The following is a 17,952-nucleotide window of genomic DNA, read 5'->3' on the forward strand; positions in this document are numbered from 1 at the left end:
AGAGAAGAATTGGCTGAGATCACTTTTGAGGTTCCTAATATTCCCCAGCCTCTATGATTCTATAAAACCACTTACTAAAGAAAACAAGAATCAAAATAAAAGCAATTCAATTTAAATGTCATGTGAAATAAGATTTCATGTGAAACTATTTTGTTGTCATAGTTCTATGGTTAGGAATAACTAAGAAGACTGTGAACACACAAAACATACAGACTAGATGTAATAAAGGTGGTTCTGTGAAGACCTTAGACAACGGAGGGTAGGTCTGTGTGATGTCCATTGCATGCAGGCACTAAAAAGCCATCCCTACCTTCCATGCAAGGTACTCTAGATACACCAAGGATCAGCAACTGCCTAACTCCAGGTTTTTTTTCAGTATGAAATGCTGTTAAGTATAAAACACTAGCGTACTCTACCTTCCTATGTCTTAAAAGCGTAGGCAGGAGCCTGGGCAAAAGGACTCCAGATTTCAGTAGCATTTTACACTACAAAATAGGGATGTCAGCCCAACTCCCGCACTGTGGCAGGAAATCCCTCCCATCACAGGATCCAGGTGACAAAGCGGACAAAGTCAGAACTCCTTTGGCACAACACGTAAGTTAGAACAAGAAGCCCTTTTGCGATCCACTGGGAGGTGGGGTTCCTTATATCCATGCAGATGACACGGCTCCCTGAAACACAAGTGTGATTTACATGTGCATGCGATTACTGACCATTATCCAAAGCTCATGGGCACGCTTTGTCCTGGACAATGAGCATCTGGTTTGCCAGGATGGTTCCCAGCTGTTTCATAATTTCTGTTCAGTTATTGAAATAACAGAGCAAAAGCCCAGCTAGAAAGTGTTCAATCTTGTGTTGATGCTAATGACATCCAGGAATAAAAAGCTGTGCTGCCTCCAACTAGCCAGCCACTGCTCACAGGACACACTGGGACACCTGTGGTTAATGATTAAGTGAATTAAGGACCACTTCTCAGCAGTGCTGATGTGTTAACACTCCAGGCTCTGAGATGGGGGAATTAATTTTTCTTGCTCACAGTGCTTTCCTCTGGCTTGGGGCCTGGGAGTGTGGTCCAGTGGGTAGAAATGCTGCACTGGTAAAAAACCCACACGATTTTCCTGTCTCCTTCTTGTGCCCACTGTACTTGCCTAGGCTTCATTCAGCTTCAAGGCCTCACCCTGGAAAGAGATGACCCAGGGCAGCAATAACAAAGCAGGTAATGAGAAGCAAGATTCTTCCCTTCACATGTAACACTCTCCTTGAACTTATTCAGGTGTTTACTCAGTGCCAGGTACTGTTCTAAGTGGTTTGTATGTATTACATCCCATTTTATAAATGGTCAAACTGAGACATAGAGAAGTCATGTCTTGCTCAAAATTACAAAGGAAGTAAGTGGCAGATCTGAGATTCAAACCCAGGCAGTGTCTTACTGAACTGCCACGTTCTCACCCTTTTGGTGAAAGGGTCACTCGGAAGGTACTATTTCCCTGATGCAAGAAGCTTGTTATTCACTCAGCACAAGATCTCTGTTCCTTATGAACTTTATTTAGATATTGTTAGGAAATGAAATTTCATGCAGCCACTTGGTGGCAATGATGGGATCATAATTTACAGTGTTGGAAATGACAGCAAGAAATACTGATAAGATAATCCATCAGAAGGCAGTTTCTCCAGGGGAAGGTTCTCTAGGTTTCACTGGGAAAAGGAGACTTCCCAAGGTGGCAGTTGACCCTACTAAACAAGAAATCCGCAAAAGGACAAAGAATGGGCCGCCTCCTTGTCCTGACAAGGCCAGGACTGCAGGCTAACTCACCAGCAGATAAACAGCCCAGTAAGACATAACGAAAATGTGCTCTGGAAAAATGCTTTCAAAAGGGGATGAAAAAGTCAAGGTTTTACACTAAACAGGGAAGGTACATTAAGGAATTAAGGAAGACAGGGAATGGGGAAATGCTAGCTATAGACAGCACCATTAAAATGAAAAACAAAATTAACAGTACTATACTTTGAAATCATCAGTTCCAAAATAACAATAAAATATTCACCCAAGAATACCAATCCAGGTTTTGTGTTAGGCATTGTGCCAAGTCCTCTGTATTTATGGTTTCATTTACTTCTCAGCAATCATGAAAAGTAAATATTATTTTACCAAATGTGCATGTAAGGAAGCTGAGGTTCAGAGAGGTTAAGTAATTTGCCAAAGACCACACAGCTAAGATTAAACCTTGGCCTTGGCCTGTAAAGATAGTGTATTTTACCTCTACACGAACCTAAAGCTGGCCATCTAAGAACTATTAGACATTTATTGCTCTTAATGATATAACTGAATTCCTCCCAGTATTATAACAAATATTCTTCCCGAAGCATAGAAAGAAGCTTACCTATTTACATTTATTTTAATAAATCCAAAAAGGTTTTACTGTAGCACATAAAGGAGTTCAAACTTTGGAAATTTGTTTCCTTGACTTTGGTCAAAGGCACCTACACCAATAACAAGAACAACTCATATTTATTGAGGGCTCACTATGTGTTAGTGATGTCGGCAGGCTTTGTATGAATTAACTCATTTAATTTTCACAACAGCCCTGTGAGGTAAATGCTATTGTTATTTCTTGCTTTACAGATGAGGAAACTGTAAAACAGGAAAGTTAAAGAACTTACTCAGGTCACACACCTAATAAGGAAGAAAGCTGGGATTTGACCCCTGGCAGTCTTAGGCTCTAGAGTCTATGCTGTTAACCAAAATACAATTTCACTCTCTACTGAATTTTACCAAATGCTCTGCTGTCCCAGGACTTTCCAGAGCATCAATATGCTGTCCTGCACTGTGATTCTTAGAGAAACTTGCAGCTTCCCCACCACCTCACCACTCTTTTGTGGGTGGAGGCTGTCTAGGAGCATTTGGAAGAAGCTACTAAGGTTCCAAAGAACAACCTTCCACACCAGCGGCTTCTCTGGGTTTGGGCTTCAGCTTGCACAGCTGAGCTGCTTTGAGACTGGGCTTGGTTACCCTAAGAGAAGAGTGAATGGTGACCGGGCATGGTGGTTCACACCTGTAATCCCAGCACTCTGGGAGACCGAGGCAGGCAGATCACTTGAGGCCAGGAGTTTGAGACCAGCCTGGCTAATATGACAAAACCCTATCTCTACTAAAAACACAAAGACTAGCTGGGCGTGGTGGAGCATGCCTGTAATCCCAGCTACTCGGATGGCTGAGGCATAAGGATTGCTTGAATCTGGGAGGCAGAGGTTGCAGTGAGCTGAGATGATCGTGCCTCCAACCTGGGTGACAGAGTAGACTCCATCTCAAAAAATAAATTAATTAAAAAAAAAGAAAAAAGGAAGAATGCATGGTAACAGAGAATGTGAACAAAAAGCTGATAGCAAATGGATGAGCATGGAATTAGGAAGAATTCCAACACAAGCATAAGGTGGGTCTCATTAGAAATATTTAAGCTGAATTTGACCAGTCCTCAAAAGTAAGGTCTGTCCAGCTTTTGGCAGTCAATAAAGTTCTTTTATATCCATTTTTCTGGTTAATCCTCAGGAAAACTTTGGTGGTGGGAACAAGCTTTGCTACTGATCTCCCTGCAGAGCTCAGGAAGTGGAGGTGTGGAGAGAATAAGAACTGCCAGGGCATGCAGGTAGTAGTAGTACATGGTGACCCTCAGAAGTTGACGTCTTTTCACTCCAAGTGCAGATCTACTGACTCCCTGGGCAGGTTGCTTCCCTTCCCAGAAAAGACAGGAAATGAAAGAATTTCTAGGGAGTACTACACAAAAACTATGTGTTTTGTTTTTTGTTTTTTGTTTTTTTTTTTTTGAGACGGAGTCTTGCTCTGTTGCCCAGGCTGGAGTGCAGTGGCATGATCTTGGCTCACTGCAAACTCCGCCTCCCGGGTTCATGCCATTCTCCTGCCTCAGCTTCCCGAGTAGCTGGGACTACAGGCGCCTGCCACCACACCCGGCTATTTTTTTGTATTTTTAGTAGAGACGGGGTTTCACCGTGTTATCCAGGATGGTCTTGATCTCCTGATCTCGTGATCCACCTGCCTCGGCCTCCCAAAATGCTGGGATTACAGTGGGCGTGAGCCACTGCGCCCGGCCAAAACTATGTTTTAAATATCCTCTTTGTCATTTGAAACCAAAAGATGCTATTGTCTTCCTGACCTCTGAGCAGCATTCTGCAGAGCTGGCCCCTTTAACTCCATCCTTATGCTTGCATACTAAATCTTTGCTTCTATAGCATCAAACTCTCCAGGTGTTCCTTCCACTTCCTTATCAAATTTCTCTGCTGTCTCTTCCTTGTCTATTCTGAGTTCTTAGAGCTCAGGCCTACACTCTCTTCTCATGTGTACTTTTATTACCACAAACCAATAATTCCTATTTTTCTTATTTTTGACCCCTCTTCTATGGCCATCTCTACCATAATCCAACTGCATGGATTGTACTACTACTATTACTGTTGGCTGCTCTTCCTCATCCCTGATGTCTAATCAACTTGCACATCCTGCATGGTCCACAGGCTACATTTGTCTCAAATGTGTCCACTTTTCTCAATCCCCACTCCACCATCATCTGTCCAAAGCATCACACTCTCTGGCCTAGACTAACTTGTCTCCTCCATTTACTCTTGCTTCTTTCCAGCACCAACTGCAGCAGCCCAAGTTTCATTTGAAAAAGGCAGATCTGATTCTGTTCCCTTAGTGAAGACACATCAATGGTTTCCCACTCTTCTTAGAATAAAATTCAAAAGTAATCAACATGGTCTACAAAGCCCTGCATGACTGTGCCATGGCTTCCCTGCCTGGTATCTCTCCGTGCCCCACTCCCTCCTGTAGCGGGACTCTGACCAAGCCAGGTGAGGCTCCCACCCTGTGGCACGCTCTTTTAGCATGCCACTCTCCTCCACCACGGCAGTCATTGCTGTGATGATAAATGATTACTTGGCTGATTATTTGCTTAGTGCCTGTTTCCCTCACAGATCTAATCGTCACAATGGGAGACTGTATTTCTAGTGTCTAACATGGTGCCCACACAACAGAGGTGTTCACTGAATATTTGTCAAATGATGACCTACAGACCCCAGGAAAAGGTTTTAATTCAACCTTATGCTTAAAAACCTCATGCTTAAAAACAACAACAACAATTGAGTCTAACATCCTTGAAAGCCTCAGTCACAATAAAAAGTTAGAGGCTTAGAGAGGGCTGACATTTTTAGGCTGCCAGGTTCTTACTTTGTACATTAATGCTCCATGATTACTGGCCAATAAGATACAGGTGATATCTCTTCAAAAAAAAAAAAAAAAATTCATGGGATGGAGCCAAAGTGTATATTTTTTGGCCAGATAGAACTGGTTATTTTTATAACTGGACAATGTTAGGATGGTCTTGAAGGGCACTACATGAGAATGTTGGTGTCCTGAAAGAGTCTTGAAAGAATAAAACATACTACCAGGGAGCAGGTGCTTCTGGGGTCTATTTGATTCATTCCTGTGACTTACAGGCACGCTCCCCAAAATGAAAGTATAGAATGTGCTCAGCAATTTGAAACACATATATAAATCACTAATATCATTTCAGAACTCTTGAGCAGAATCAAACATCACCACAAACTTGCTCAAGATTACCAGAGTAGAAGCCTTGACCCCTGAAGGCTCCCATTATTCTTGGATCCTAACTCCATGATACAGAATAAAACAAGATGTATTTTGTTTATGCCAAGTAATAGAAATTTTTATTGAGCTGAGTAAAACTAGAAGAGGTCCTCCTTGTACTTTTTCTCACCATTGATGGACTCATTCACTTTAGCTGGGTTTAATCAAGTTCCTGGAACTTTGTTATAGGTTGTACTTCAACAATGGTCAAAAGCTGAGTCTTCTCTCCACCATTTAATTGGCCTGAAGCCACGTCCTTTTCATAAAGCTGATCAGTGACAACATTCAGTGTATATTCAAAGTCCTTCTAAGAATATACAGACACTGATTTAGAGCTTAGCCAAATCCACATGGTTACTCATAAATAGTAAAGGACATGCAGGGCTTCCTTAGAAACCCTCTGGTGGGAGGTGACATTTGAGATCACAAAATACAAAAGCTACAAGCTACATAGTCCTGTGTGACCAAAGGGGTAGCTAAGTGGGAATGTTTTTCCTACAAAAGGAAAAATGACTCGCAGTGAAATACTCAAGCTGAACTATGGGCTTTAACAGTTTCTATATGACAATGTAGTCCAAGTTCCTACTCAGGACACCAGAAACACAAGTGGTCACCAAAGGCCAGGGAAGCAGACATAGAAGGGGACCTGGCAGGAGCAGGACACAGCAGAAGAGTTCCTGGTGGGAGAGAATGTCATGACTAAGGGGTTCAGAATTTACAGCTCTCTGAGTACTTAGTATTCCTTGTTCTTCTCCACTGCGCTATAGAATAAGATGAAGGATCAAAAGAGAAAGCTGGAATAATCTATCAATGCTCTGTGGCCAGAAGCATTCCTGCTTCTGGTATGGAGCCAAGGCTCATGCCCATTGGTACATACAGCAAAAGGCTTGTGCCCTCATGCATGCTGGCTGACGTCTTCTGTGCAAGCCAGGATTGACAGGGTGTGTCTCTGGCTGCACATGCCTCAGTGAGCTGAACTCTGACTTGCTCCATGGTAGAGGTTCAAGCAAATGCCACAAGAGAAGAGACACAAAGGAGGCCTTGGCAATAGCTCTGACTGGGAGCGTGAGACAGAACCCAGGTCAAAGGCGAGCATCTGTTGGCCACAGATTCTGTGCCCTTGCGCAGAACTCCTTAAATGTTCAGGATAAAAGACTATAGACATAGAGGCCAGATGAGGGATGTGGAAAAGCATACCAACTTTGACTTATCAGTGGAGACACAGAACACATGCAGTGACTTGGTGCTTAGGCTCTGCAGGCCAATCCCCTGGATCTGAAACCCGGTTTTCTTCTCAACCTTTAACAAGTTATTAACCTCTCTAAGACTCAGCTGCATTATCTTTAGACTGGAGATTATTGTGAGGATTAAATGAGACAATTCGTGTAAAGTACTAAACACAGTACCCTGCAACATGGGACCAATTACTTCCCTCCCTGAACCTCAGTTTCTTCTTTGTTAAATGGGGATTATGAGTTTTGCATGAGAGATAATCAATACAGGAAAAGAGATAATGATAGTAGATGAGATAGTGGCTATAAGCAAAGCATCCTGCCTGGTACTTGACATTACTAAAATCACTCAATAATTGTAACCATTGGGTATTATTGTTGCTGGTCTGATACTGATATTTGAAGGACATAATGAGGTTGATGGGATTTGCTGCAAACTGGAACTGAGGCCCTTACTGATTTAAACCAGGGAGGCTGGACCTTGATGTACCATTTAAAAAGCAATCTGCTGCTGGTGACTGCAATTCACCACCCTCTAAATCTTCAGTGGCCACCTGGCAAAGCAAGTGAATTGCTGCAAGCCCGTTAATGAGAAGCAAGCTGGTGTTCGGGAAACCTGTAAAATTACTATCCCATTACCGTGCAGTTAGTGCGCCTTTCATCTGCTGCCCAACTTCCCCAATAGATATGCTCTCTCGGTTTCCTAATTGTCTAGAGGCTTTGATTTATCTGGCAGAGGAAGGAGGCCTGAGATATCTGGGCAAAGTTCTGGGAAGGAGGCTTTAACAAATGTCTGTAAGACCACAAGGTGAGAGTCTGGCCCAGGACAAGGCATGCAGCCAACTGTGGCTAGCAGTATGGCTTCCCACACAGATAAGCAGTATCTGCTGCTAAAGGCAGGTCTTGCCCACAGGCTGGAGGACAGGCCCTGGGTACTAAGGGATGTCTGGGAAAGGATCTGTGAAACATTCTTCCTAGCATTCAGAGCATCAATAGGCAGGTCCTACTCTTCCATACTTGAAATTCCACTTATCTGCTTATTCACTGTGATCTAGTTAATACCTATATTTCACCTCTCAACTACTGACCCATTCATTCATATATTACTCATTCCACAGATATTTATGAGGCACCTACGACATGCTAGAGATACATCAGGGAATAAAAGAGATAAAATCTCCTTGTCCTGATGGAGCTTAAATTCCAGTAGGGACATTCAGGCATGTAAAAGTATATGTAGACTATATTTGAAGGTGCTAAGGGCTGTGTAAAAGTAATAAGGCAGGGCAGGGAAATAGGACATGCTGGAGGGAGGGACTGTGACTTTAAGTAAAGCTGAGAAGGTGCTGAGAAGGTGATATATGGGCAAGACAGGAAGGGGTGACGGCCTTCACCTGCTTTTCTGAAATGACCACACCACCACAAAAAGCAAGGGAAGCCTTTTGTTTGTAAGAGCATTCAGGACTTATCTGCCCTTGCAGTCAACCCCTTTGTGCCTCTAAGCTCTGTGTGCTCACAGGTGGGATGTGGGCCCCCAGGGAATGCTTGGAGAGTGACCACAACTGAGAGGCTTGGGGTCAGAGGTGGCCCGAGCAGGTCCTCACCTCCTCCAGCCGCCGCCTCTGCTCTTTCTGCTCCTCGATGCGCTTCTGACGCTCGGCCAGCAGCTGCCGCTTGTGCTCCTCATTCTCCCGCTGCTGCTGCTCCAGCTGCTGCCTCCGTAGGGCCTCAGAACGCTCCTTGTTGGCCAGCTGCAGCCTCAGAAAGTCCCTCCGCAGCGTCGACTCCCCTGGCAGATTCAGGATGGAGCTGTGGGTAGGAGAGAGTGATCAGGATCCCACGTGGGGCAGGGGCCATGGCTACCAAGAGGCCTTGGAGGAGGAAAGCGGGACAAATGATTCACCCACACACAGGGAAAGAAGAGCACAGGCTCCTAGATCCTCCGCTAATTCAATCATTCACCCCAAAGAAACAGCATCAGGATAAGAGACCTGCCTCCCTTTCAGTACGACTGTGGCCAACAAATGCTGCCTCCATCCATAGAGGGATGTCACATTCTCAGAGTTGTCACCTTCTCCAGGACTGTCCACACCACTCCCTCATCCTTGGGACGTGGCAAAGATTTGTTTTTAAAGACTTTAGCCAGTGTGCAAGCCATGAGCCCCAGACTGGATTATTTTCAATAAAAATGGACAATGGTGGGCAACAAGGGTACTCAGACAAGCACAGATCGGCCTCACCCACACCACCCCCTCACACCAAACCCCATGAGGCAGAGGCCAGGCTGCTCCTGTGAAGCCACGATGAACTAGCGATGGAAAACCCTTGAGTCAAGGTCAACACAGAGCCAGGATCTGAGCCCAAGCCTGCTGAGTCCAAGTCAGGGTTTGCCTGACTGTACCACACTTAAAGGGCTTGGTTTGGCTCTGGCCACAGCAGGTGCAGCTAGGACTTCAACCCAGCTCATTGGTTCCTAGATTCTGTTTAGGTAACAGTTTTGTCTTCTGTAAAATGGTGGTTGTACATGAATGTGTGTGCATACGACAGAGATCGAGAGGACATAAATAAGTTCTACCTACTTCGCTGGTGGTCCTGGGCTGCCCTGCTCGCAGGTGAACAACTAAATGTTACAGACTCCTTGATTCTGCACAGCAGCCTAAGAGGGAGCTAAGAAATGACTTCTGTTTATTCAAACGTAGCCCTTTTAATCTTTCTGGAAGCTTCCATTTGAAATAAATCTATTAAACACATATTTACGGAGCACCTGCTATGTGGCAGTCACTGTAGTAAGCTCTAAGGATACGGCAGTTGCTAGATAAATTCTCCCTTTAAAGTTATCTTCTTATGGGACACACATACAGACAAATAATTTCAGGTATTAATAGGCTCTATAGAAGACTAAAATTGTAATTGTTTCAGTGACAGTGGCTGGGAGCTGAGGTAAGCTTTGAGGCCTTACTTTAGATGGGTGGTCAGAAAGACCTCTCTGGGAAGGAAGCAGTTGATGAAGAAGGAAGAACGTTCCAGGCAGAGGGAAAAGCAGGTTTAGAGGCCTGAGAGGAAAACAGGGGTGCACCCTATTTTTGAGCAACTGAACACCAGCCCGGCTTCCCAGAGCAGAGTGAATGAGAGGGAGAAGGGTATGAGAGGAGGTCAGAGAGATAGGTGCGGGGCCGCGACAGCCATGCAGGCACGGGAAGGTTTTATGCAGAAGAGCAACATGAGCAGATGGGTTTGGCTGCTAAATGGATGACCTAGCGAGGGGTACAGGGGCAAGCACAGCAAGCCGGACTGCTGCTGCAGAGTGGTTCTGGGGTGGGGACACCACCCAGGGCGAGAGCAGAGCGGGTGGAGGAGGGAAGGAGCGTTTGGGGATAGAGGTCACGAAGCCTGTGGACAGATCTGACATGTGGAGTGAGGGATGACTTGCAGGTTCTGTCTTGGTGGCTGGGTGACGGTGGTAACGAGAACAGGAATGAGGAATGCTGAGGGAGGAGCAAGTTTCGTGGCAGTTAACAAGAGGACCAAGGATCGGTTTTGGAGAGTAGTTAGTGTGCTGTGTGAGATACTGCCATGAAAAGACATAAAAAGGCTTTGTTCGTGATGTTCCATAGACAATGCTTGGCGTCTACTCACAAGCCTTCTCTAAAACTTAGAGCCTTTGTGTCAAACTCTAAAACCCCAAACGATGGTGCTTATCTACACAGGCCACTTGCCCTGTGCAGAGGGGAGGGACTTGGGAACCCAGCCTCCCATGCACACGAGGATGCTCCATTAATATTAATTGATATTGAATCAATGTCAGAAGATCTGAGCTGTGTTAGTGACTCAACCATTAACTCTGTGTGTGACCTGGGTGCAACCCTTAGGCTGTCGCCTCATTTCTAAAATGAGATAACCATTGTCCTTTTCTATTTTTCAGGATTTCATGAAGATTAATTAGATACGTCCATAAAAACAGGACTTGGACTTAAAGTATAATAACAACAACAACAGGACTTGGAACATAATCTTCAGCATGATATAATGACATGTTATAATTACGGAAGTGTTAAGGTACGGCTGGGCTGGCTCGTTGAGTGACTCCTAATATGCAGTTTAGCAAGTGTTAGAAAGACAGGGTTTCTCAGTTCTACAGAAAGTGGTCAGAAGGCTGACACAGTAACCTTTTGGGTAAGCTTTTGAACACTGGTGTACAACTTCTCTGAAAGCAGGGCGTTTGGTCCTCTGCCTTTCAGGAATGTTCATTTTCTATGTCACTACTTGGCAGTCATCTTCTTTATGCAGCTAAACCGGGGACGGCCAACATGCTATGTATCAGATGGTAGGAAAGAAGTATTCGGTCTTTGACCTTGAGGAATCCTGTGGCAGGTGAAGAGAGAAAAACTGGATGGCTCTGAAAGCTCAGTTCCATCTTCTTATAGAAGCTTAGCAAGAATCCAGCTCAGTAGGTCTGAGTTAGCATAAAAAAAGAACACATGGTATCTGGCTCATTCTAGCAGTGGTGGCTAAGCTGGCCCCTTTTCTGGTCAGAAAGCTCTCCCTCAGTGGTACAGGAACTGATCCTTCTGGAGCATTAGGGTCCACTCCTTGGATGGCTTGAGGAGGGAGGCCACACCTCAATGAGTCTTCTGCTTGTGCAATTCCCCCCAAGTCTTACTTCACATGTATACTGCATGGCACCATGGGATGTGGGCCTGCCCTCCTTGACTCAACAAGCTGAATTCGCTCACCAAAGAGATATCCTGGCAGTGCAAGCACACTAACCTTAATTACTTATAAACACAGACTAGAAGAAAGTCAGAATCAAAGTCAAGTGGAATTCAAAATGTAGGCATGACAATAAAACAGCCCTGGATTCTGAGGTCCAACAGGTGACAACAGGAATGGCCCAAAAGTATTTGTTTGGAGTTCATCTCTACATATAATTTGATTTTCTGAAAATCACTTTCTCCTGGATTAGGCTGCAATGAAAATACCAAGGCATGTGACAAGGACAGTGGCTACCCGAATGGGCTTCTCAAAGGTGTGAAGTAACGAACTGAATAACGCAAGTCCGAAAATACCACTTAGGTCTCTAGAAAGTTGCAGTTTTAAGTATTTTTAGTCCTGCATTGCCCAGATAATTAGCCTTCTACCCATTCTACGTGTTACATATGTAAGAAAACAAGCTCTTACGATAGAGACCATAAATCTTGGGGGACAAGATAAAGAATATGCTGATTTCCACATTTTCGTAATGGTCTGCCTAGGGAAATTTTCCCAAATTAATGAGTATGTTCATGGGCAATAAATTAAATAAGACCACCCTGGTGGATTCTTAAAAACGAACCTATAAATCAAAAGGAAAGTGAATTTCACACAAGCACAATTCAGAATGTGAACATTAGAAGACTTGGCTTTTGCTCTCATACCTGGGCTCTCCTGAGTCATTCTCCTCCTCTTCTTCCTCACTTCCACTGTACTCATACTCTGTCTCATCTGAAGAAAGATCCCAGCATGTTAGTGCACAAAAAGATGCTATGGCTCAGTAAAGCCCAACCCCGTCTCTTATATATAAATAAATAGACACCCAAAGAGTTGTAGTTAACACAGCGCTGGAACGGTCTCCAGGCTTGTGATTTAATGGTTCCCATAAGTATATGAAATTAACCACATTCAAGGCTGTCTCGGCTGACTCTAGATATCTGTCCCCAGTGCCTAGTGTTCACATGAGAAGGAATTAAAAAATAATTTTTTAATTTTTTTATTAATTTAATTTCAATTAAAAATAACTTGTTTGGCCGGGCACGGTGGCTCACGCCTGTAATCCCAGCACTTTGGGAGGCTGAGGCGGGCGGATCACAAGGTCAGGAGATCGAGACCATCCTGGCTAACATGGCAAAACCCCGTCTCTACTAAAAATACAAAAAAAATTAGCCGGGCGTGGTGGCGGGTGCCTGTAGTCCCAGCTACTTGGGAGGCTGAGGCAGGAGAATGGCGCAAACCCAGGAGGGGGAGCTTGTAGTGAGCCAAGATCGTGCCACTGCACTCTAGCATGGGCGACAGAGCGAGGCCCTGTCTCAAAATAATAATATAATAATAATAATAATTTGTTTGTGTTATTCCCACTATAAAGCCACCCATATCAAACCCATTGGCCCTTTGTAACTTATTGATGGTATTAACCATTTTTAAAGTAGGATTTTATTATGACTTACATGGACTTGCAAACTGTCTTTAGACTATTTTGCTAAGTGCAACAAAGAAACTTTTGACAATAGGTGCTATTAAAAATATATAGTGGCCGGGTGCGGTGGTTCACGCCTGTAATCCCAGCACTTTGGGAGGCCAAGGTGGGCGGATCATGAGGTCAGAAGATCGAGACCATCTAGGCTAACACAGTGAAACCCCATCTCTACTAAAAATACAAAAAAAAATTAGCTGGGCGTGGTTACAGGCACCGGTAGTCCCAGCTACTTGGGAGGCTGAGGCAGGAGAATGGCATGAACCTGGAAGGTGGAGCTTGCAGTGAGCCAAGATCGCACCACTGCACTCAAGCCTGGGTGATAGAGTGAGACTCCGTCTCAAATATATATTTAAAATTTAAAAAATGTATATCTATATTTAAAATGTGTTTTGATTGATCCACTAGGGACAGTCCTTTAATTCAGCAAAATGGGAAGCAGTTTACATGTGTGAATGAATAAGATTGAGGCTTGCTTTGGAAGAGATCAAATCTAATATGTGAGATGAGTAAATATCAGAGCCTTCATGATTGTGAAGAAAGGGAAGGAATATTTAGTGGGTATCTCCCACACCAGTCACTACTGCTAGATATTTTACTCTGTTCTCTCATTTATTTTTCATAATAACCCTCCAAATTAGTGTCTATTTTTCAAGCAAGAATACTGAAATTACAAGAGGTTAAGTAATATAACCAATGTTATCTCATTAATAAAAGGTCAATCTAGGATTTGGATTTAGAATTCAATCCAGAACTTTTCCAACTTAAAAAATAGTGCTCTTTCCAACATATTATATGCTAAATAGCAGTACATATAAAGAGCAATGAGATATCAAAGAAAGGAACAGCTAGTGCCACTGGTCATAATGGAGGAAGAGACTTGAAGTCTTTGGAGAAAAAATGAACTGGGCTTTGGAAGGTCAGTGGCCCTTCTCCAGGCAGTTAGCAGCTGGCACTTGTGGGAAAAGGACACTCTAAGCAACATATCCACATGAGTAAGGCTGGCAGTATTACAGTGCATAATATGTTCAGGAAACAATGAGCTGTGAGTAGTTAGGTGCCTGGGTGTGAGAAAACCTTATGGAGGGACAAAGGCTGGCAGGGATGAAATGGCTCACTGATTCTTATAAATGCCATGCTGAGAACTTTCCTATTGGCAATGAGGAACCCTTGGAGGAGCTTTTAAGCAAAGGAAGGTGTCACATTACTCCTATCTCTTCATAGCTGTAGGTTAATAATTACAACCTTGAAGACATTTGCACATCCCTAAAAAGAAACTGAAACTGCAATTTAGTTATGTTACCACCAGGAGGCAGCAGTCACACAGTGAGAATGCTCAGATTTGATAAACATGCCTTGCTTTTCACACTAGCCATTAAAGAGATAATGAAGGAAAGCCAAAAGTTTGATGAGTTCAAGTGTATTTTTAAAATCACAACTTAGCTTCATACATTTAGGTATGTATGAAGCTTTCAGGCTACTTATTTTTAAAATATTAGTTCACCAAAATATAAAGAACCTGCATAAAGCATTTTAATACTCCACCCTAAAAATGAAATATTCCAAACTTTTTCAAAATGAATAAACAGATTTCAAAGTAAAAATGCAGAAATTTTATCTAATAAAGGAAATTACAGCAAGGAAAAGAAGCACACAATTATTCCAATTACTTCTACTCTCTAGGGTAAATCCTTCATTTGTCAGGCTTCTCAATTTAATATTTAATACTTCACCAAAATTTGCTTTTGACTGCTTTTATATTACTGGGTTAAATTTGGCATGTGTCAGCATATGTTAGGGAAAAAATATCAGGTTGAAAAAAATCACAAATAATGCAAAATAGAATTGCTTTGATTGATTCTACCAAAAGTTGGTCATAGAACAACTAAGAAAGTGAAAAGTAATATTAGAGCAAACTAAGTCATTTGATTAAACTGAACAAATGGAATTAGATCTCATTTGATCAAACACCATTCCTTGGGGAGCAGACAAAAAGGAGACTAGAACTGTGATTCTGGTGGCCCTAAGCCTAAACAGGCTTAGATTCCTTAAATTACTACATAACTCTTGAACATACCTATTCCCAAGAATCTTACTTTTCCACTCTGCAGAGAACAAACACATTAAAAATGATCTATCTTCATGGCATGGTGAGTTCTGAGTCACATTCCAGAGTTTGTGCCCCACAAAATGTGGAAACAACCTGAGGCACAGGCTTCAATCACTCTTATTTATGCCCCAGAGGGAGATGGGTCATGAGTTCTCACAAAGTACTCTGAGTAAGTGATGAAAAAGTATGGGTCAATAAGTAATTGCCTACATAAGAATAACTGATATTTACTGAGTGCATCTATGTCCTGGACATTATGTCAAGCATTTTAAATGCATTACCTCGTTTAATCTTTGCAACTATTTGAGGCAGTAGATATTAGTAGTATACTCTCAATCTTATTTTAAAGATGAGAAAACTGGAGTGATGTTCACATAACTGATAAGGGGCAGAGTTAGAATTTGAACCCAGAATATGAATCTGAAAACAGTCTGAGCACTTAAACTATGCTATATATTCACCGTATAATAAAATGTCCTTTTGAGAGAAGTTAGCATTTAATGGTTGCATGTCTGACACACTGCCCTAAAATATGCCCTTAAAAATTCTGACTTCATGGAGTAGCCCAAGACCACCATGGACAAGGAGCAATTGAAAAATCAGTCCTGGAACTTTTGAGTTTGACCTATGTATTTCTCTTCATGCCTAGTTCCTCCAGCTTGGGCTGGCCTCCCAGCTCCTTAGGGTCTAATTGACATCTTATTAACTGCAGATGAGCCACCGTTTTGGCCTAGCTTCACAACAATGTATGATAGTCTAAGCTGATCATACATTCCTTCAAGTCCCTGCTAGCTGCATAAGAATTCTTCCCTGGGGCTGGGTTTGGTGGCCCATGCCTATAATACCAGCACTTTGGGAGGCTGAGGCAGGAGGATTTCTTGAGTTCAGCAGTTCAAGACCAGCCTGGGCAACATAGTGAGACCTCGTCTCTACTAAAAATCTAAAAAAATATAAAATCAGCCAGGCATGGTGGTGTGCACCTGTAGTCCCAGCTACTTGGGAGGCTAAGATGGGAGGATCACTTGAGCCCGGGAGATAGAGGTTGCAGTGAGCACTCCAGCCTGAGCAACAGAGACAGAGCCTGTCTCAAAAAATAAAAAATAAAAAAAGTGCTGGGTGGGTGGCTCATGCCTATAATCCCAGCACTTTGAGAGGCTGAGGTGGAGGATCCCTTGAGCCCAGGAGTTTGAGACCAGCCTGAGCAACAAAGTTAGAACTCATCTCAAAAAAAAAAAAAAAAAAAAAGGAACTCTTTCTGGAACCTTCACTGAGATTCTCTCATCCTGCCTTAGCCCTCTGCTGATCTTACCTCTCCAATCCAGTCTCAACTTTCATACTGCTCACCGCCCCCACCGCTAGTCCCCAGCTTGTGTTATGGGTATTAACTGCAGAGGCAAAGAAGAAAGGAAATGCAAATAACAGAAAGGCAGCCTCTGTCCTGTCTGTGGGCTACCCTCCGCTACTGCCTCTGAACTGAAGAGAGGAGAGAAATGGAGAGGAAGGAAGCAAGAACAAGCACATCACCATGTGCCTCCCCTCCCATCCTCAGTCTCTGGTCTTCCTCTCTACTGTCCACTCACCACACTGTTAATGCTCAGCTTTCCAGCCTCACACTGCCTTTCACTGCTATCCTCCCAGCAGCAACCCCCTCCTGCTGTCTACCCAGAAAGCCCTCACTGCTGTCCTCTCCATTTCTCTCTTCCCATACTCTAACTTGCCCTACCTCAGCTAGCCATTAAACCTGCTCCAGACCATGCAAGTTTTTACCTTGGTCATGGCGCAGTCAATATGCTAGTCAATCTCCAAGAACAAATTTGTCTTCCTTTAGAAAGGTACTGTTTCCTCAAAGATAAATCCTATGCCAGAGAGGCACAGGGTAGGGGAGTGCTGGTGAGAGATACCATACCGATGATTATGGCAGCAAGCACACAATGTAGTAGAAATTAGTGGTGAACCTTAGCTATGACTCATGAGTTGTTAATTGGAATGCAAAGTTCAAAAGTGATTCTGAAATTACTGGTTTCAAAATTTGCCTAATGAAAATTCTCTTCACCATATAAGAATCTTGCTCATTTCTACAAAATGCACTCCCCTTACCCATCCAACCTTAGTTTCACTTTTCTTTGGCTTGCATTTTGTCTCATTTGGCAGCTCACCTCAATGTTCCCTAATATACAGTATTAGCATACCATTTCTATGCTAGTTAAAAATGTAAGCTTCCATTCAAAAAGGTAGGGTGCAGCCTGAGACTCCAAGTTTGGACTCATGTTCTTTCAATGATGCAGTGAAGAGACAGTGACATATAAGAGCTAGAGTCACAAAGATGTGCTTTTGCATATATAAAATAAAGAAGTGTGTTAAATGACCTTCAGCTCAAAAATCTGATGTTCCATTCAGCAAGCCTGGCAACCTAATGATCTTTTCTATCACTGCAACTATAAAAAAATTATTTCTGACTTCTAAATAACAGAATTAGAAATGAGCCTCAGAGCACATAAATTTAAATGTTGAAGAATGTCAGTACAGAAAAATGTCAACTAGATGAATTTTTTTCTTTAGGTTATCTGTCTTCTGTAGAGTTTTAGTCTTCTAAACATGAATATTAATTTGAATTAAGAAAATCACTTGTCATATTAAAGTACTTCATAGTATCATTCAACATGACTTTGTTCAGTGCCTGGCAGAGGTAATGTTTCTTGCAGTTCTATTTTTTTCATGAAAGATTCTA

General features: G+C 43.0%; 1 protein-coding gene and 1 long non-coding RNA gene across 9 annotated transcripts in view, besides 2 other annotated features; one reads left to right on the forward strand and one right to left on the reverse strand.

Annotated features, from left to right (window-relative positions):
• LOC105374216 (uncharacterized) overlaps nt 1-12,195 on the forward strand; it is a 59,021-nt gene extending 46,826 nt beyond the window's left edge. Inside the window, exon 5 of the long non-coding RNA XR_007096163.1 lies at nt 10,811-12,195. This is a non-coding gene — a long non-coding RNA (uncharacterized LOC105374216). The remainder of the gene's footprint in view (nt 1-10,810) is intronic.
• Nucleotides 1-17,952, reverse strand: part of TNIK (TRAF2 and NCK interacting kinase) — a 401,995-nt gene that overhangs the window by 90,554 nt on the left and 293,489 nt on the right. For all 8 annotated transcript variants that reach the window (NM_001161566.3, NM_001161565.3, NM_001161562.3 and 5 more), the window contains exons 11-12: nt 12,303-12,369; nt 8,493-8,697 (exon numbers count right to left, since the gene is read on the reverse strand). In NM_001161566.3, the coding sequence (NP_001155038.1) occupies nt 8,493-8,697; nt 12,303-12,369 (272 nt within the window). The remainder of the gene's footprint in view (nt 1-8,492; nt 8,698-12,302; nt 12,370-17,952) is intronic.
• Nucleotides 8,453-8,747: a silencer, noted in NCBI's record as "tiled region #1564; HepG2 Repressive non-DNase unmatched - State 4:PromP, and K562 Repressive non-DNase unmatched - State 14:Gen5'". NCBI's record gives its function as "represses a minimal TATA promoter and a strong SV40 promoter by Sharpr-MPRA in HepG2 and K562 cells {active_cell/tissue: HepG2 | K562}" and the evidence as "EXISTENCE:reporter gene assay evidence [ECO:0000049][PMID:27701403]".
• Nucleotides 10,173-10,467: an enhancer, noted in NCBI's record as "tiled region #12227; K562 Activating DNase matched - State 5:Enh". NCBI's record gives its function as "activates a minimal TATA promoter and a strong SV40 promoter by Sharpr-MPRA in K562 cells {active_cell/tissue: K562}" and the evidence as "EXISTENCE:reporter gene assay evidence [ECO:0000049][PMID:27701403]".

This window comes from Homo sapiens, chromosome 3, assembly GCF_000001405.40.
Source record: "Homo sapiens chromosome 3, GRCh38.p14 Primary Assembly".
Taxonomy (NCBI): domain Eukaryota; kingdom Metazoa; phylum Chordata; class Mammalia; order Primates; family Hominidae; genus Homo; species Homo sapiens.